The sequence below is a fragment of the Homo sapiens genome, chromosome 9 (assembly GCF_000001405.40).
Source record: "Homo sapiens chromosome 9, GRCh38.p14 Primary Assembly".
NCBI lineage: Eukaryota > Metazoa > Chordata > Mammalia > Primates > Hominidae > Homo > Homo sapiens.
Window position 1 is genome coordinate 4,846,697 of NC_000009.12, and position 18,243 is coordinate 4,864,939.

An 18,243-nucleotide genomic window follows, 5' to 3' on the forward strand; every position below is an offset into this window, starting at 1 on the left:
CTTCCATGTCTTTCTAATAGACCTTGGGAGAATTAGAAGCATCACATTATACAGTAGTCCAGTAGGAGCCTATGGGCACAGCTAGAGTGTGGGGTTTATATCCCTATAAATAGCAGGCTATAAGCCTCAGGGTAAAAGCACCTACCACTCCACAAGAGGAAAAACATGCAGTTTAAATTAGGTTCTTTAATATTTTTCTTTTTTTTTTTGAGGAAGAGTCTCACTCTTTCCCAGGCTGGAGTGCAGTGACGTGATCTTGGCTCACTGCAACCTCTGCCTTCTGGGTTCAAGTGATCTTCCTGCCTTAGCCTCCCATGTAGCTGGAGGCATGTGCCACCACGCCTGGCTAATTTTGTATTTTTAGTAGAGATAGGGTTTCTCCATGTTGGTCAGGCTGGTCTCGAACTCCTGACCTCAGGTGTTCCACCCGCCTCGGCCTCCCAAAGTGCTGGGATTACAGACGTGAGCCACTGTGCCTGGCAATTTTTTTTCTTTAGTTGAGATCTACTTTCAGTCTTCCATTGTGCCTGGACCAAATTTCTTTCGTTTTCTTTTAGTTATTCAGAAAACTTCCTTTTTATGTCTATGATCTTTAATTATTAAAAGGATGGAAATACTTCATGTTTTTCTGAATAATTTTCTGTAGAGTTGTGATGTGACATGGATTGAATGAGTGGTAAAAAATCCATCCCTTTTGAAGGTGCTATTTATCAAGTTTTAAGCCTCTGATCTAATCCCCCCTGTTCCATTTATGCCTCATCGGTTACCAAGCCTTCTTGATTCTGTCCCAGGCTTTCTGGAACTGCCTTTTCTTTCCATCCTTTTCACTGCTCTAATCACTGCCTGCCTCCCTGCTCCACTCCACAACTGGATTATGGCCACTGGCTCTCTGCATTTCTAGCAGAGAAGTTCTTTCCAAATCCTAACATCCTTTTCAGGCTAAAATACTGATCTGATCTCTTCACTCATGTGCACAGAGACCTTCACTGGCTTCTCACTTTCCTGGGACAAAGTCAGAATTCTCGACCCATTTCGGAAAGGCTTGCCTTAATTGGGCTACCCACCTTCTCTGTGCTGTATGTGCTTCTCCACAGGCAGCAGTGGTGCCTTCCAGGCTGGTCACCTGGCCATTCCTTGCTGGCCCTGGCATTTTATTTTTCCCCATCATTCTGTTCTTCCTTCCTCCCCAAACCCTGCTCATCTCTCAAGGGCTGGCTCAAGTAGTCCTGAGTCCTAAAGCCCTCCTCAGGTATCTGGCAGGTGACACCTCCCCCCAGCATAGGTAGGGTGATAGCCCCTACCACTTCCTCCATGATGTCCTGTACAGGGACCTTAGCTATCTATTACATTAAAATACTGGTCCAGTGAATGGTGAAATAACAACAGTGATAGGAAGCAGAGACTGAAGAGAACACTTTAATTTTAGGCTGTCTTATGAAAGGGAGCAAGATCTATAAAACAGTTTTGTTGGTCGTCATATTTTCCATGGGTCAGGTTTTTCTTTTTGGGTAGAAAAGGAAAAGGAACTCTCCTTGTCCTAGAATTTGCTATGTGATCTAAATGTTGTTTTCTGTCCTTTATTAACTAAGGTAGTTTAGGGACGTGCAATAGATTTTCATAAAGGCTAGCAGTAAGATCAATCCTTATTTCCTTCACCATTATTAGGGCTACTAAATGATATCTGACAGCCAGAGAATTTCAGAGTGTCTGTATCTGAAAATGGATTTATTTCCTACCCTACATGCCTTAAAAAGGAGGCAGGGGCAGTTGTAGCCATATGAACCACACTGCTGGCCACCTATCCTGTTCAGTCTAGCCTTGGATAGTAACGTGCCTTGGTCAGACTGGATTTCTAATTTTGACCTGTGCAAAATATGTAGAAATTCAAGGTCATCCTTCTTTGACTATGTACAATATGTTTTAAAGTTATTCCAGAAAGAATGATCAGAAAGCGTGTTTGTATGCTTATGTATGCGTCTAGTGGAGGCAAAACAGTTAAAATGGCTGAGAAAATGAAAAACAAAAGAAGAAAGGCAACCTAAGCAGTTGTACCTCAGGAGAAAGTGTTTGAAGAGAAGTCTGTTCTGCTTGTTAATTTGGAAGAAAGGGAAGGAAAAGGGGGTGGAAGGCATAATTTTATACATAAGTAGTAAGAATAAAGGGATCTAACCTTAACAAGTCTTCAGTTTTAAGGAACTCAGGAAGAGATAAAGGAGAGAAGTTAATAGAGTATGGCAAGCAGTTTCCTGAATGTATTTGAATAAGTGTAAAAGTAAGGCCATGAAAAGGCCGTTTCATGTCAGATAGACTGTGTTGTTCTGTGACAGATTCAATAAATATGAGCGTCATCCACTTAACCCTTGGAATTAACTCTACATCTTCTAGAACTGATTAAGATTTTTTTTTTTTTGCATATACTCAATAAAGATGATGTCCTCCTGCTGCTGCTTTAATGATAAAGGGAAAGTTTCATTTTTTTTTTTTTTTACTAGATTCACTTAAGAAGATTTGAATCTGATAGTCTCATTCTGATAGTCTCAACTATTACAGTTGCTCTAATTAACTGTTAGTTTAACCCTCTACAGTTAGTTGATACAATGATTACTCTTATAAGACCTGTATTCTGTTTTATTGTTGCTTGAACTTTGGATTTTGATATTATGAGTGTATGTTTCTGGTTTTTTTTTTCCTCCTCTCTTTTGTTGGCTTTCCATTTTCTGGTTTGTACAATTATTAATTTGTGTTTACAGGGTGGATGCGTAGACTCGACCAACCAAAGCCTGGCGCTACTACTCATGACCCTTGGACAGCAGGATGTTTCCAAAGTCCTGCTAGGCCCTCTCTCTCCCTACACGTAAGTTATTCTTTTTCAACCTCGTTATTCTGTCCAGTGTAATTTTCTCATTGCCCAAAATGACAAAGGGTGTTGTGCTGCACAGAGCCTGCACTATGAACACCTGCTTGTGTTTATCCTCAAATCAGCCAGCAGTTGTCACTCTTAACCTGGTGTTTATTTTTACATACAAGGATTTTTGCATTTCTTTCCTTCCTTAATCCCAGGTAACTGAAATTGCATGATCTCTATTGGGCAGTTATTTTGTTCGTGCTTTAGATTTTGTTTCCAGGTTAGAGGTAAACTCCTGGTTTGGTGTAGCTTGGATTTTATTACTAGTTTTTTTTTAATCATTCTTTTCCTTAGCTGTCTAACTTGCTGTGGGAAAACAGGCTTTTTGTCTAAGATGATAGGATATGAGCTCACTGGGAAAGATGACAAAAGACAGAGTTTGTATTAATGCTACTGGACTAGTAGGGAATTGTAGAAGTGAGTTTGGATTGTTGAATGTTAGCAGAAGTTGACTGCTGTGGTGTAAAAGCAAGCACTCTTCAAAAAGAACAGTGTCAGAAGACTTGAATTATAAATGACACTGTGAAAGAAGCATTTCCTATTGATAGTAAATGAGGTTGCGGAAAACAGCCTATTTGAGTACTGACATTGTGTGTGTGTGTTTTCACGTGCTTGCATACTTGGAGATCATCATATGGCCCATCTGAGGTTGGTGAGCTGGGTGGCAGGGAATATTCAGGTAGATATGAGACTGAACTGTCCTTTTTCGGTTATCATGGTACCGATGCTGTATATCTGAAAGGTACAGTACTGTGATAACTGAAGAATGGTGGTGCCATCACATTGAGAAAGGGTTGAGGACTGCGGTGGGGCTATGCACCCTTGGGCCATGGCGTTGGGGGCATGAAAACCAGGAGCTTGAAATAAATTCTTATGGAGGCTTTTTTTTTTCTTTTTTTTTTTTTTTTTGGAATTCGTGGTGGGAGGTTTTTTTAGAACAGGAAAATGGAAGAGAATACATTCTGTTAGCAGAGAGGGAAGACTGATAAGCAGGAAACTGGTAAGGACCACATTATCTCCTGATAGCTTGTGTAAAAGTATTTCGTAGGACAGGATACCTAAAATTGAGTAATCCTAAATGGCGTGGTAACATCAGTAGTAAACAATGCTAAAATAGACTTGGTAGTTAAGTACTTGGAGAGGAGATGAGGGCTGGAAGAATGGCACCCTAGGTACAGAGACTCGCTTCCTGTAGAGAGCTCACTGGAGGCGGCTGCCAGCTGTGTGGCCACTGTGGCCCCACCGGCTTTGTAGCTGGGCTCGTAGCTGCCGTTTCCCAGCCCTTGCTTCAGGCCTGGGGAAGTCCTGCTTGCACACACGGTATGAGGTATGGGGTGTTGTCTTGAATGTGTGTGGTCCTGGGGCATGGGGTTTGGCAGAACATTCTGTGAAAATGGAATACATATATGTTTTTTTTCGTGACACTTTTTTTCTTTTGCTTTTGGAGATTTTTCAATTTGGCTCCAGGACCTGTATGATGTTTTCAAGCTTTGCAGAGATGCTCAAGATATGACTGGACATTTTTGAAAGTTCCTGTGTCCTCTTCAACACATCTTCTCACCAAACATTAATTGTAGTGTCTTTTCTTCCAGAAAACTTGCATAAAATGACTTCCTCTCCTGTGAAAACAGTGTCCTGCTCTGAATGGAGCTTTAAAGGAGTAGCACAAATTGTAAGATGATGTATCTTGAGGCTGGGGCTTAGAGATATTCTGCTGCCTCCCAGAGCTTTGTGCAGACGGGTCTGCCAGGGTGGGAAAGGGAAGCCTCCGTTCTTTTTGGTAAGCTAGCATAAAGACAGGTAAGGGAGTCTATTTTCAAGAAAGCTGGATCTGTTTCATACTCTTTCTGCCCCTAATCACTATGGACAGCTCCAGCAGCACAAAGAGATGAAGGGCAAAGGCAGGATGCAGCAGGCAAAGTTAACATTGTATTTGTGAGTACAGTTGAGGATAAAAAAGGGATGAAATCCACGGTGAGGACCATCATGGTGGGGGAATAGTTTATTCTAATGGATTCAAGAGCTTTGGAGACCAAACTAACACATTTATTTTTATGTGTAGTTAAAGTCATAGAAACCTGTTTTGTGAAACCTCAGATTTCTAAAGAAAACCAGAAGCAAGACCTTCCTTGGTTTAAAAAAAAAAAAGCATTTCTTCAAGCAGTTTGGACCTGTTTTTCGTGTGTATAAAACAGCTTTTTAAATGTCTATGTAAAGAGCATTGGGATTGCTGTTGGTGGTTTTCTGTGCTACTTGAGAAAGTAAGTCTGTATGTGTGAAACTCTTTTTTTTTTTTTGAGACAGAGTTTCGCTCTGTCGCCCAGGCTAGAGGGCAGAGGCGCAATCTCCGCCCACTGCAAGCTCCGCCTCCCGGGTTCAACGCCATTCTCCTACCTCAGCCTCCCGAGTAGCTGGGACTACAGGCACCCGCCACCGTGCCTGGCTAATTTTTTGTATTTTTAGTAGAGACGGGGTTTCACCATGTTAGCCAGGATGGTCTCGATCTCCTGACCTCGTGGTCCACCCGCCTTGGCCTCCCAAAGTGCTGGGATTGCAGGCCTGAGCCACCAAGTCCGGCCAATGTGAAACTCTTTTAGAAAGGCCCAAGAGATTTTTTTTCAGTAGAATAAAATACTGTTGGATAATCACTGGTATATGAAGATTCTATTTCTGTTAAATTTGTTGAGTTTTAGGTGGCTTACAGTTAGTGACAGTAGTTGCACCCTCCATTCAACAAGCTTAATTTTACAGTTTAGGGAGGGAGGATTTATACTTTTGGATTAACAGCAAGAAAAATAGCAAAAATTAAGATGCATCTTAATTAGCACTTTCAGAAATTATTTGTGGAATGAGACTGCAGTTACCAGAGCTCTCTGCATTCTGCCAGTGCACAAGTCTTGGAGTCCAGCCTATCTGGACTTAAGGCTCTACCACGCGCTACCAGGAGACCGTGGAAATGGTATTTAGCATCTTGGAGCCTTGGTGTCATTTGTAGATAAGGTGCGTGGTCCTGAAGTCCTGGACTTGTGGAGATGGAACGAAGCTTAGATTAAGTCAGATGCTTAGTGCTCCTGGCAACGTGCCTGAGGAGCTGTCAGTGCTGGGTGCTGTGGTTCCTGCCTGGACACCCCTTCACCCTGCTGCAGTCCAGTCCCTTGGTCAGGTCACTTTTTTTTTTTTTTAACTGCTCCTTGAGGAGCAGGACTACCCCAGAGGCAGTGTGGCTAGAGTAGCCCGGTCAGGTCACTTTGAACCCCAGGAGGCCTAGTAAACTTGCTTTGGGTGATTTTAGGGTTTAAGTCATCTGTAAGTGGTCTGCCCAGCTACCTATAAATCTATATCCATTAATTTTAAATTATGGATTAAAAAATTTTAATTTCTAGTTATTATTTTTATGACTGACTTCCCCTAGTCACATTACTGAGCAAACTACACACATCTTATTGATCCTAAGAATTCTGTAAGGTAGATGTTTATTTAAACAACACCGTGTTTACTGTGTGCAAGATGTTGTTTTAAGCACTCAGACATAATAACTTATCTGGTTTTCATCATAACTTCATAAGGGCAAAAAAGGCAAGTACTATCATGTGCACCGTCTTACAGGTGATGGGATTGAGGCACAGCGAGGTCAAGTTACGTGCCCAGGGTCACACAGACAGTAAGTGGGGTTCAGACCTGGACAGTCTCCTCCAGTCACTGCTTCCCTTACCCACTGTGCTCTTTTTTTTTTTTTTTTTGAGACGGAGTCTCCTCTGTCGCCCAGGCTGAGTGCAGTGGCGCGATCTCAGCTCACTGCAAGCTCTACCTCCCAGGTTCGTGCCATTCTCCTGCCTCAGCCTCCTGAGTAGCTGGGACTACAGGCGCCCGCCACCATGCCCGGCTAATTTTTTGTATTTTTAGTAGAGACGGGGTTTCATCGTGTTAGCCAGGATGATCTCGATCTCCTGACCTGGTGATCCACATGCTTCGGCCTCCCAAAGTGCTGGGATTACAGACGTGAGCCACCGTGCCCGGCCAACCCATTGTGCTCTTATGTAAGAGCTGGGATTCCATCCATATCGCTGGACTCCAAGCACCTTGCCTGAGGCAGGATGCCATGCTACATCTTTTCAGCAAAGTCCTCGTTTCAAATTCTGCTGTAAAATGATCTCTTTCTATCTTTAGTTGGAAATCTAAAATAAACCGTGACTTTTTTTTTTCTAACTTTAGTTAATGACCTTTTTCCATGACTGTGGAAGTGCTGAGGAGCTAGAGGACACTGTCCTTGTTAAACACCAACTGAGTGGGGCTTCCTAGCCCACTCAGCCTAAAGCTCAGCCCTCTGAAGAACCAATGAGGAAACCAGTGGGGAAACTGGGAACTGCCGGCCAAGCCTGCCTCTACTTGGGGTCAGTGGCCTCACTGCATTCCATGAGCTTGCACAGTACCACTATGTCTTAGTTTTGTGAAGCGTTTAAATTCTGTAAAGCCCTGTCACCTGATGTTTGAGCCCTAGAACATAATTGGTGTATGGTAAAAGCAAGTGATAGCCTTCCTTCTCAGATAAAAAAGAGGTCACTGACCTGCTTATGGTGAGATCCTGTCTGAACTGGGCCTGGGACCCCATCTCCTGACAGTGCAGCTAGCCTAGTTCTCTGTTTCCTGCTGCCTCAGTAACTGAATGTAGTAATTTCATTTGGAGCAGAGGTCAGCTTGTCTTTGGAAAAGCCTCTATTCAGCAGAAAAAGCATCAGCAGTATATTTAAAAGCTGCCATGTAATGACTATAGGGACTCCATTGAGCAGATCCTTTTCTTATCTCCAGATCTTTTCCCTCAACTTCCAGAGCATGTCCTTACACCTGAGATGTAGGTACCCCCAGCTCTGTCCCATATCCAGTGGCATAGTAACCAGGTGGCTTAGTGGAGGAGGACGCAGGACCCTCTGTTGTGGTTTGTGCCTGTGGGGGCTGCCAGAGAGAGGGCTCACCCCATGATTGCCTTCACCCCAATCTCTCACATGCTTCAAAAGAGGGGTCTGGTGGGAGGGGCTGTGTTTAAGGGTGGGATCTGGCAGCCTGTCAAATCCTGGTCAGTTGGGATTCAACGGACCCATGACCACAAGCCTCATGGCCTTTCCTGTTGACCAGCAGTGGCAGTGGGAACAACTCACCTTTTGAAAATACATAGGAAGGCCGGGTGCGGTGGCTCACACCTGTAATCCCAGCACTTTGGGAGGCCGAGGCGGGTAGATCACGAGGTCAGGAGTTCAAGACCAGCCTGGCCAACATGTGAAACCCCGTCTCTACTAAAAATACAAAATTAGCCGGGCGTGGTGGCACATGTCTCTAATCCCAGCTACTCGGGAGGCTGAGGCAGGAGAATCACTTGAACCTGGGAGGCAGAGGTTGCAGTTAGCTGAGATCGCACCATTGCACCCCAGCCTGGGTGACAGAGCAAGACTCCGTCTCAAAAAAAAAAAAAAAAAAAAATAGGAAAAGTTATCTCTGTGCTCCAGAATTCTCTGAAACCTGCTTGTCAGATGGACTAGAGGCTTTCGTAGAAAAGTCAGTTGCTTTTTGTTTTCTGAAAATCATTTTGTCCCGGGGAAAAAAAAAGCCTCACTGCAGATAATCATTCTCTATGTTAGGTGTTAAAATCCTTTACACAGGAGTTGCATAGAGCCCCTACTGCCTAGAATGGTTCTTCTGAAAAGCTGCTATTTGCGCTGTGTGGGTGGTTACTCATTGAGGGGCAGAGCTGCTCTCGGTGAGCGGTGGGTCTCTTTGCCCTGGGTGTGTGGCTGTGTGGTTGTGTCTAGGAAGTGTGAATCTCCAGTGTAGTGCTGTGGAAGAGAGGGGCAGGGAAATATGAACTCAAGAGGCGGTGCCTCAGTGCAGCTGCTGCTGTGGAGAGCTGTTGGGCTGTGGAGCAGGACGTGGATCAGCACTGGACAAGACTTTGTTCAAGTGCATGTAGATACAGGACGAGCTTACTCTTCATTTGCTTTTCGTTTTCTTAAGGAGGCTGTTTGCTGGGATTTAATATTGTCTGTGGTTTTTTTTCAGGTTGTGAGCATTTTTGCTCTTCAATATCCCAGCTGCCAGAGACATAGGGAGAATGGGGCTAGAGGTGGGGGAAAGATTCTGAAATGTACCTTAATCTAGTCTCTTACACAGTCTTCCTTGGACAGGCTGAGGAGTTGGCAGAACATTATGTAAAAAGTGGAACTAACTTTGCTTTTTCTAACTGTTCCAAAGGCTACAAATACCCCAAACTTGCAAATACACAGGCCTGCACACTTGAGCCTGTGTTCCTCCCATCCTTCTCCAAGAGATCAGAAGCAAGCTGAGGGCCCGTAGAAATTCTGCCAGCTGGGGAGGGTGTCTGGTTTTTCAAGCACAGTTGAGTGATTCAGAGTGAAGTAGGCTGGGTGACATCCTGGGAGCAGAGCATGCCCCAGGCCTGTGTTAGTTTGAGGCAGCAGCAAAGGAGAGACCAATCTGTTTTCTCCTTCAGATGCAGAGTGGGTGAGATGGCTGGCTTTTTCCAGGTTGCCGCCAGCTGGAAGCTTTGCCCACAGATGTGGACTGTTTATCTGTGGTTTGCTGTGTTTTCTTTTTTCCCTAGGACAGGATGGGGGAGATGGTGGGATGGATAGAAAGCAACAACGACAACAGAAATTTAATTGGTTAGTAAGACAGGAAAGCCAGCAGGGAAAGCTGACTTCCCTTAATTGCCAAGAATGTTGAAAATTGTTTCTCAAAATTACCCCAACTCCTAAATTCTATCCAGTGCCTCTTTACTGAGAACCTTTACAGTGCCTTGTTTGAATAACGGGTTCAGTGATGGAGAAGAGCCTCTTTACTGAGGCTAAATTCTATTCAGTGCCTCTTTACTGAGAACCTTATACAGTACCTTGTTTGAATAACGGGTTCAGTGTTGGAGAAAAGCATTGCTGTTGAGGTACTTAAATAATTTAATGATGGGGAAGGGGACAGTGATACATAAGCATTTAATTAGACACCATGAGCAGAGAATGCTATGGAAACCTGGAGGGGTGGGAAAGATCGTTTGGGGTAGGGTTTATGGGCTAGGAAAGACTTCATAGAAAAGTTGACAAATGGGATGTTATTTTAAAGGTCGAGATGAAGTTGCACATTCCTAGGTGGAAGGAAAGCAAGGAATTGGGGGATTTTTCTATGAGCATCCAGCACTGACCAGAACTCCTGCCCTCTAGGGTTGTTAATGTTTCATCTCTTAGCCCCTGATGCGCTGGTCACTTCAGCCACAGGGTCAGGAATTGTTCAGGCCCCCTTTTCTCCATGTAGCTGTTTCCTTCCTTTAACTAGATCAGTGCTCTTAGCACAGAGGGATGGGGATGGGAGGGAAATTCATCAAGGCAGGCTTTATATGTAGTTTGGTATACACCGAGTAGGGGTGAGAACCAGGATCAGTTGTTTTATAGCATGGCAAATATGTATTGATTTCTTTATTTTAAAAAGCTTTATTGAGAACCAATTCACATATGACACAATTTACCCATTTTAAGTACACAGTTTAAAGGTTTTTTAGTGTATTCACAGACTTGTGTAACCACAGCCACAATCTAATTTTAGCACATTTTTACTACCCCCAGAAAGAAACCCTGTGCCAGCTCACAGTGCCTCCCATTCTTCCCACTCTCCCCAGCCCCAGGCAACCACGAATCTCCTTTCTGCCTCTGTGATAGATTTGCCTGTTGTGGCTTTTTCATATTGTGTAGATAGAATCATACACTATCTGGTCCTTTGTGACTGGATTCTTTCACTTAGCATAATGTTTTCAGGGTTCATTGATGTAGCACGTATCAGTGCTTTGTTCCTTTTTTATGGCAGAAAAAAAAAAATCTTCCATTGAATGGATATACCACATTTTATGCATTCATCAGTTGGTAGACATTTGGGTTGCTTCTACGTTTTGACTCTTGTGAATAATGCCATTATGAATATTTGCGTGCAAGTTTTTGTGTGGGTGTATGTTTTCATTTCTCTTGTACATATTCCTAAGAGTAGAATTACCGTATCCTATGGTAACTCCCCGGTTAACATTTTGAGGAACTGCCAGGTTGTTTTCCACAGCGGCTGTACCGTTTTACATTCCCACCAGCAGTGTATGAGGGTTCTAGTGGTTCTGCCTCCTCACCCACACTTTTGTTATTGTATGTCTTTTTATTATAGCCATCCTATTGGATATGAAGTGATATTTCACAGTGGTTTTGATTTTCACTTCCCTAATAACCAGTGATGTTGAGCATCTTTTCATGTCCTTATTGGATATTTGTGAGGAAATATCCGTTTAGCTCTCCCACTTTTTTTTTTTTTTTTTTTCAGTGAGTCTTACTCTGTTGCCCAGGTGGGAGTGCAGTGGTGCAATCATAGCTCGAGTAGCTAGGACTACAGGCTCCTGCCATCATGCCTGGCTAATTTTAAAACAATTTTTTTGTAGAGATGGGGGTCGTAATAGACTGGTCTTGAATTCCAGGCCCCAAGCAATTTGCCTGCCTTGGCCTCCCAAACTGTTGGGATTACAGGTGTGAGGTACCATGCCTGTACTCTCCCATCGTTTAATTAGGTTATTTGTCTTTTTATTATTGAGTTGTAAGAGTTGTTTATATAGTTGAGATGCCTGACCTTTATCAGATATATGACTTGCAGATCTTTTCTCCAATCCTGTAGGTTGTTTTTTTACTTTCTTGATGGTGCACTTTGATGCACAAAGTATTTTAATTTTGATGAAGTCCAATTTATTTATTTTGTCTCTTATTGCCATCCTTTTGGTGTTGTATTTAAGAAATGGTTAAGAAACCGTTGCCTAGCCCAAGGTAATGAATATTTACTCCTGTATTTTCTTTAGTGAACTTTATAGTTTTAGCTCTTACAGCTATGACTTTGATCTCTTTTGGGTTAAGTTTTGTGTGTGATGTGAGGAAGGGGCCCAGCTTCATTCTTTCACCTGTGGATATCCAGTTGTTCCAGCATCATTTGTTGCAATGATTATGCTTTCCTCATTGAGGAAATTAGCCATAACTGTGTGGTTTATTTCTTGACTCTCAATTCTCTTCCATTGATCTATGTGTTTAGCGTCAGTGTTTTTAAAGCTCCTTAGGTTATTCCATGTGCAGTCGAGATTGAGAACCATCTGGCCAGAGTGGAGAGTTTGGCTGGTTTGATTGGGAGACAGTACAGTGCGAGGTTTTTGTAATACTTCACTATAGATGTGCAAGCCATCATTCTTCACTAAGCCAGTATTCCCTAACCTTGCCCAATGAGACTTGCCAGGGATTCTTGTTAACAACATAGATTTCTGGCCTCTATGAACTGGGGAGTACAGGGCCTGGTGGAGGGTAGGGAGGGATCAGCTTTGTGTGTGGACTGTGATTCTGGGCTCTTCCATATGGACATTTCCTACCAGTTGCAAGTTCACCATAACCTTCAGGAACCTGTGTATTTAATGAACTGTTCAGGTGAGTCTTATGGTCAGGCTAGCTGGGGTGACGCTAGGTCTGCCAGGCGAGACCATTAGAAGCCTGTGCACCTGCACTGCGGTTCATCCACAGAATTGCTCTTCCCAAGGTACTCTTGGACTGATGCCATCGCCCTGTGATGCCATTGTCCTTGTTGTGTTTACTGTGCACACTTCCCCGGCCACCTTATTTAATATTGCCTTCTGCCAAATATGTACAAATACTGTCATACCCACAGTTCTTCCCCGTCTGTGTTGTTTGCTTTGTTTACATTACATAGCACTTTTCAGGAATAAAATTAATTTATTTATCTAGTCTCTATCTATACCACTAGATTGAAATCCTCCTGAGGGAAGGATTTTTATTTTTATTTTTTTTCATTTGAGTGCAATATTCCCAGCACCAAGAACAGTGCCTAGCATACAGTAGGCACTTGATACATATTAAGTAAATGCGAGGGTATTATTGGAGAATGAAGGGAGGGACTTGTCTGTTTCAGCATCAGTAGTCATTGTGCTTGTTTTGAATGTCATGGTGCTGTGAATCATGGAAATAGGTGTTTCTGTCTTTGTATAGGCCACTCAAAAATCATTGCCTAAGCCAGGTACATTGGGACACCCATAGTCCCAGGTAGTCAGGAGGCTGAGGTGGAGGATTGCTTGAGCCCAGGAGCTTGAGGCCAGTTTGGGCAACATAGTGAGACCCCATCTCTTATAAAAAAAAGAGTCATCACCATATTTCTGTCCATTTTCTGCTAGGTCTGAACTAAATAACTTATGTGTCACGTACGAACTTCTAACCTTTCCCCCCCCAGTTTAATTTATCTTGCTGTATTGCGTGTATCTCTGCAAACTATCTAAATCTTCTTTGGAAACTGGCTGGCTGAAAGGAAGTACTATTTAATCAGATTCGATGAGAAGGTCTTAACTTCAGCCCTCTAGGTCTGGGAGATTAAAACCTTGGATTCTAGGTGGTAGAGGATAATTTTTTTTTGAATGAATTTCTTTTTATTTATTTATTTATTTTTTTCCTTTTTAGGATAGAATTTTTGCGGCATTTGAAGAGCTTTTTCCAGATTATGTTTAAAATTGAAACCAAGCCATGTGGTGAAGAACTCAAGGGTGGGGATAAAGTGCTGATGACCTGTGTTGGCATTGGTTTCTCCAACCTTAGCAAGACCCTCAAGTGATAACCATCACAAGATAAGGCCCCAATGCCTACAGACAAAGCAGAAGCTGCCACGGACACCAATGGGACCAAGTCCAAATGGATTAATCCAGGACAGAATAGCCACTTGCTTAATTTTCTGTGAAGAAATATCAATATACAAATAAAAGACATCCCTGTAGCATATGGTTTCCAGCTGTTTCTCCAGTGGCATTGCCATTGCCCAGGAGGGGCCCAGTCACCATGAGAGCTCCCTTGCCTTACCTGGAGGAAGAATGTGCCTTCAGGCCACAGTCGTGCTGCTAGAACAGTCTCGTAGCTGCAGTTCAGCTGTGCTTCCTCAGCCTACTATCATAGGCTTCCTCAGCCCTCTGTCATATGGCTGTTTTGCAAACCTGTGGAGTCTGTTACTGTTCTTTCTGCAAGGACTCACCTCCTTGAGCCTTGGTTTTTGTTGTAGGGATTAAATGAGATAATATGAGTGGCAGCTCTTCATGAGTCCTGCAGTGCTAAGCAAATGTCAGAAATTGGTGTATTAGACTATTTATCTTTGATCTTCTGAATGGATTGCTGTCATGGACACGGACACGGATCTTCATCTGGTTCATTGTATTTATATGTGAGGGATGGATGGCTGCGGGGCTCCAAGTAAGTTATTGGGATGTTTTTATATTCCAGGTGTGCTGTACATTCTTATTTTATTTTCACAATAGCTCTGTGATGTAAGTGCTATCTCCATGAGAAAATTCATAAAGGGTGTTTTGTTCCTTTGAAATGTATAATGTAAAGACATTAAATCTCCTCATTTAAGGATCTAAGTGTAATAAGTGTAATAGAGTCAGGGTCTGGGATTTTACCCTTGCAAGCTAATAAGTTAGATTATTACTTTTTTATTGATGCTACCAGAAGACATGAGGATCCTGGGTCAGAGATAAAGAACTTTACTCAGCATAGCAAGCAGCATGAACTTCGTGTTTATATTGGTTTCCCCTGTCTCACAGTGGACATGGAGGGGCCCAGGTAGATGCTATGCATGTTACAAGTTTGCATCATAGCCAAAGAACTTGTTATGTTTGGGGACTCCACCTATTTCATGGCAAGCCTGTTGTTTCACGTGCAGAGATTACTTCATCCCTTAAGACTGCCTCCTGCAAACACAGTTTTGAGAAAGAACCCAGGCAAGAGCCTGCCCAGCAAGAATATGCAGGAATACCAGGATCCATGGCAGATTTCCCCTGCCAGCTAATAGAGTCTGCATTTGATATGTGCATAGGCTTGAAGTTTGTAGAAGGGGAAAGATGTACTTCTTTCTACTTGAATTCCAAATGGTGTCCTCCCCCGGGGGTGAACTTTGCCTCATCACTCCCTCTCGGTACCTTTTGCTTTTTAAGTGAAAAGGGGCTAGAGAAAGGCTGTGCTTTGATGTCTAGGGGTGTGGGAGGATGTGGAGGTAGAGAGTTAACCTTGAGGAAGGCCAGGACATTCTGGACTATGACATTCTACTGAGAGCTTTACATACTGTATTGGTAATATGCTCTTGGTATATAACAAATGCTCACAAACTTAGTAGCTTAAAACAATACCTCTTTATCATTTCACAGTTCTGAAGGTCAGATATCCAGGCAGGGCTTGGTTGGATTCTCTGCTTAGAGTCTCATAAGGCTGATATCAGGGTGTGTGTCACCTGGGCTGGGCTCAGCTCTCATCTGAAGGCTCTGGGAAAGAATGTGCTTCCAGCTCATTCAGGTTGTCGACAGAATTCAGGGTTGTAGGACTGAAGTCACCTGTTTTCTTCCCATTTTTCTTGCTGGCTGTGAGCTGTGGACAACTCTTAGCATATAGACAGGCACTGTCCGTATTTCTGTTCACTTGGTCTCCCCTACCTTCAAGCTGGCAATGGTGCATGGAATCCTGGTACTTTGGATTCACCTTCCGTTTGATACCAGCTGGAGAAAACATTGCTTAAAAATGACTCATAGCACAATAGTCCTACCTGGATTATCTCCCTATCTTAAGGTCAACTGACAACAGCAATACTAGATTTGTGTTTAAATAACCAGGGGCTGGGAATCGTGGATTACCATCTAAGAATTTTGCCTGCCACACATACTGCAGTCTTACCTAGTGCCGCTGACGTTCGAACTCAGATCTGCCCATATAGAGCTCAAATCCAGAACTAAGGGGCACATTGCTTTTGGAATATCACATACCTGCCGTTCCTTGTACAAGCTCTGGAAATGGTGCTGTTGGTCAATGTAGGGTGGCACATAGAGGCCAGGCAGATTACTATAAGCAGTAGAGGGGATATGTGCTACTGTCTGCTGCAAACCTGGAAGTGTCTGGTGTGGTTCCAGCCCTGCATTTGGCAAAGCTGCTTCTGGAGTTGGAACATCTTGCAGGAATGGTGATGGTATTGCCAAAAAGAGGACAAATTTAATATTTATTTAAACAGCTCACTCCCAGCCCCTTCTCAAATTCCCAAGAGAAGCAATGTACCATTCCTTCGGGAAGAAGTCATCCTTTGCTGTTTGCTGGGACATCTTAGAGACTATTCAAATCCTGCATTCTCTTCCTTTTTTCTAGCTTAGCTCCTGGTCGGTCCACTTACTTGCTGGGGTAGCTTGAAGCGAGAGATTCCAGCGTTTTGGGGCTTGGTTTTCTATCTTGGTCTGTCTGTTCCTTTCTGCTGATAGAGATAGACCATTCTGAGTTAACGGCAGCAGTTGTTCAATGGGAGTGTGAGTTTTTTAGGCAGATAAACCTGTGAACTTGCTGGGGGTCATGGCAGTATCATTCTTTGCCTTCTTGTCATCTACAAGGCCCTGCTTCTGTCTTTCAACATCCTTTAACTACATTCCATGCAGACTCCAGCCAGCCTCCATCATGATGATTTTACCATAGTGGTCAAAACAGTTGCTAACGGGTGGGAGGCAGCCAGTGTGTTGCAACATGACATGTTGATTGGGAAGGAGCAACAGGAGGACCTGCTGAATTACACATTGCCCTCACTGGGCAGCTAAGCCTCAGGGGTTTTGTTCTTTTAAAAAAAAATTAAATTCTTTTTTGAGTCAGGGTCTCACCCAGGCTAGAGTGCAGTGGTGCAGTCCTAGCTCACTGTAACCTCAAACTCCTGTGCTCAAGTGATCCTCTTGCCTCAGCTTCCCAAGTAGCTGGGACTATAGGCATGAGCCACTGTACCCAGCTAATTAAAAAAAAATTTTTTAGAGATGTTGTCCAGGCTGGAGTTTTTGTGTTTTTGTTTTTGTTTTTCCAATTTAATTTTAAGTTCTGGGATACCTGTGCAGGACGTGCAGGTTTGTTACATAGATAAACATGTGCCATGGTGGTTTCCTGCACCCATCCACCCATCACCTAGGTATTAAGCCCAGGGTGCATTAGCTATTTATCCTGATGCTTTCCCTTCTGGGTTTTCTTTATTTTAAAAAATCATTTCCAAAAAAGTGGTAAAGGATAGCTAATCACAGACCCAAATTATAAAAACAAAAATTCAAGTTGTACCATGGTGCCTGTCCTCACACCAAACGGCAGAAGACCATGAGGTGGCCATTTCCTGTTAGGTCTTTGTGTTGGGAGGCTGCTAGGTGAGACCAATCCTGGCACTTAGTTTTATGGGCCCTGAGTAGAAGAGTTGAAGGTGCTAGAGGGAGGCAAAGGAAGTAGGCAGGATGTTGTACAGAAGGCTGGAAGCAGTTGATGAAATCAAAGGTAGTTGGGGACACTGGAGCATCAGTGAAACAATTTCCAAAGTTTTGGCCGTGCCTGAGGTGAGGGTGGAGTTCGGCTGGGGGAGGCGGAATCAGAGTGAGCTAAATAAGTGGATTTACTGTGCCTTCGTTCCAGGGTCTTTGGAGTAGAATGTGGGGTTCTGTTGGCCTTCCCAGTTGGTAGTGTCAGACCTGGGGTGTACAGGTGGCAATTTTAGTCTGTGATGAGTGGGAATGCAGCACTGCAGGGCCTGTGCCCACCCAGGATCTCCATTGTCCCTTACTCCAGAGTGGACGAGAAGTAGTTGGCACTTGGGTTTCCATGTTCAGATGGTGCTGGCCTGTTCTTTAGAAGTGACTGAAAGTTTAATGGGATTGTCAACAGGCAAGCTGGGCCTTTTTGTACTTTTCTTGGCCACATCTAAGAGGCCATTTGAGTGGAACGCTTTATCAGTGTTTGGCATCTAACAAAGGCCGAGCCACGTCACTCCTTTACTCCAGCAAATGAAAGCTGTCCGGTTGTCAGGGTTTGCCCGGGTGTGGGGCTGCCCTCCTTCCTGGTCGCATTTGGCCCGTACCTGTCAGGTACCCTGAGCACGGGCCTGGGATCGGCACCTGTTTTAAAACATCCTAGATATTTCAGGTATTCAAGTGTCTCTGAGGGCTCGGGACATTCTTTATTCCTGTTTCCTCCTCATTCCCACCCCTCTGAAGAGCCTTGTGTCCAAAAATCCTCAGATTGCTTAATTTGTTAATTTATTTCTGCCACAATTTGGGACATTACATATTTCAACTGATATAGAAATCAGAGGCCAACTTAAAGACAAAAGATAATGAACGAGCCTGGCTAAAAGATATGTGCCTCCGTGTGTCTGTTCCCTGAATACCCTGTTACTATGGCTGCGATAGAGCACTTGGGCTGCTGCCGGACTCCCTGGGGGCCATCTAGGCAACTGGTCTC

At 43.6% G+C, this 18,243-nt stretch overlaps 1 protein-coding gene, 1 long non-coding RNA gene and 1 other non-coding gene across 6 annotated transcripts in view; all 3 read left to right on the forward strand.

The window, feature by feature from the left end:
* RCL1 (RNA terminal phosphate cyclase like 1) overlaps positions 1 to 14,370 on the forward strand; it is a 68,123-nt gene extending 53,753 nt beyond the window's left edge. For all 4 annotated transcript variants that reach the window (NM_005772.5, NM_001286700.2, NM_001286699.2 and 1 more), the window contains 2 exons: positions 2,751 to 2,854; positions 13,429 to 14,370. In NM_005772.5, coding sequence (NP_005763.3) covers positions 2,751 to 2,854; positions 13,429 to 13,579 — 255 coding nt within the window. In that variant the 3' untranslated portion in view covers positions 13,580 to 14,370. The remainder of the gene's footprint in view (positions 1 to 2,750; positions 2,855 to 13,428) is intronic.
* On the forward strand, positions 3,601 to 3,679 carry MIR101-2 (microRNA 101-2). Its single transcript, NR_029836.1, has one exon. It is a non-coding gene; the product is annotated as a microRNA 101-2 (primary transcript).
* Positions 3,671 to 10,379, forward strand: LOC124902113 (uncharacterized). The gene is made up of 2 exons (XR_007061402.1): positions 3,671 to 6,566; positions 7,118 to 10,379. It is a non-coding gene; the product is annotated as an uncharacterized LOC124902113 (long non-coding RNA).
* Positions 14,371 to 18,243: the final 3,873 nt, after the last annotated feature.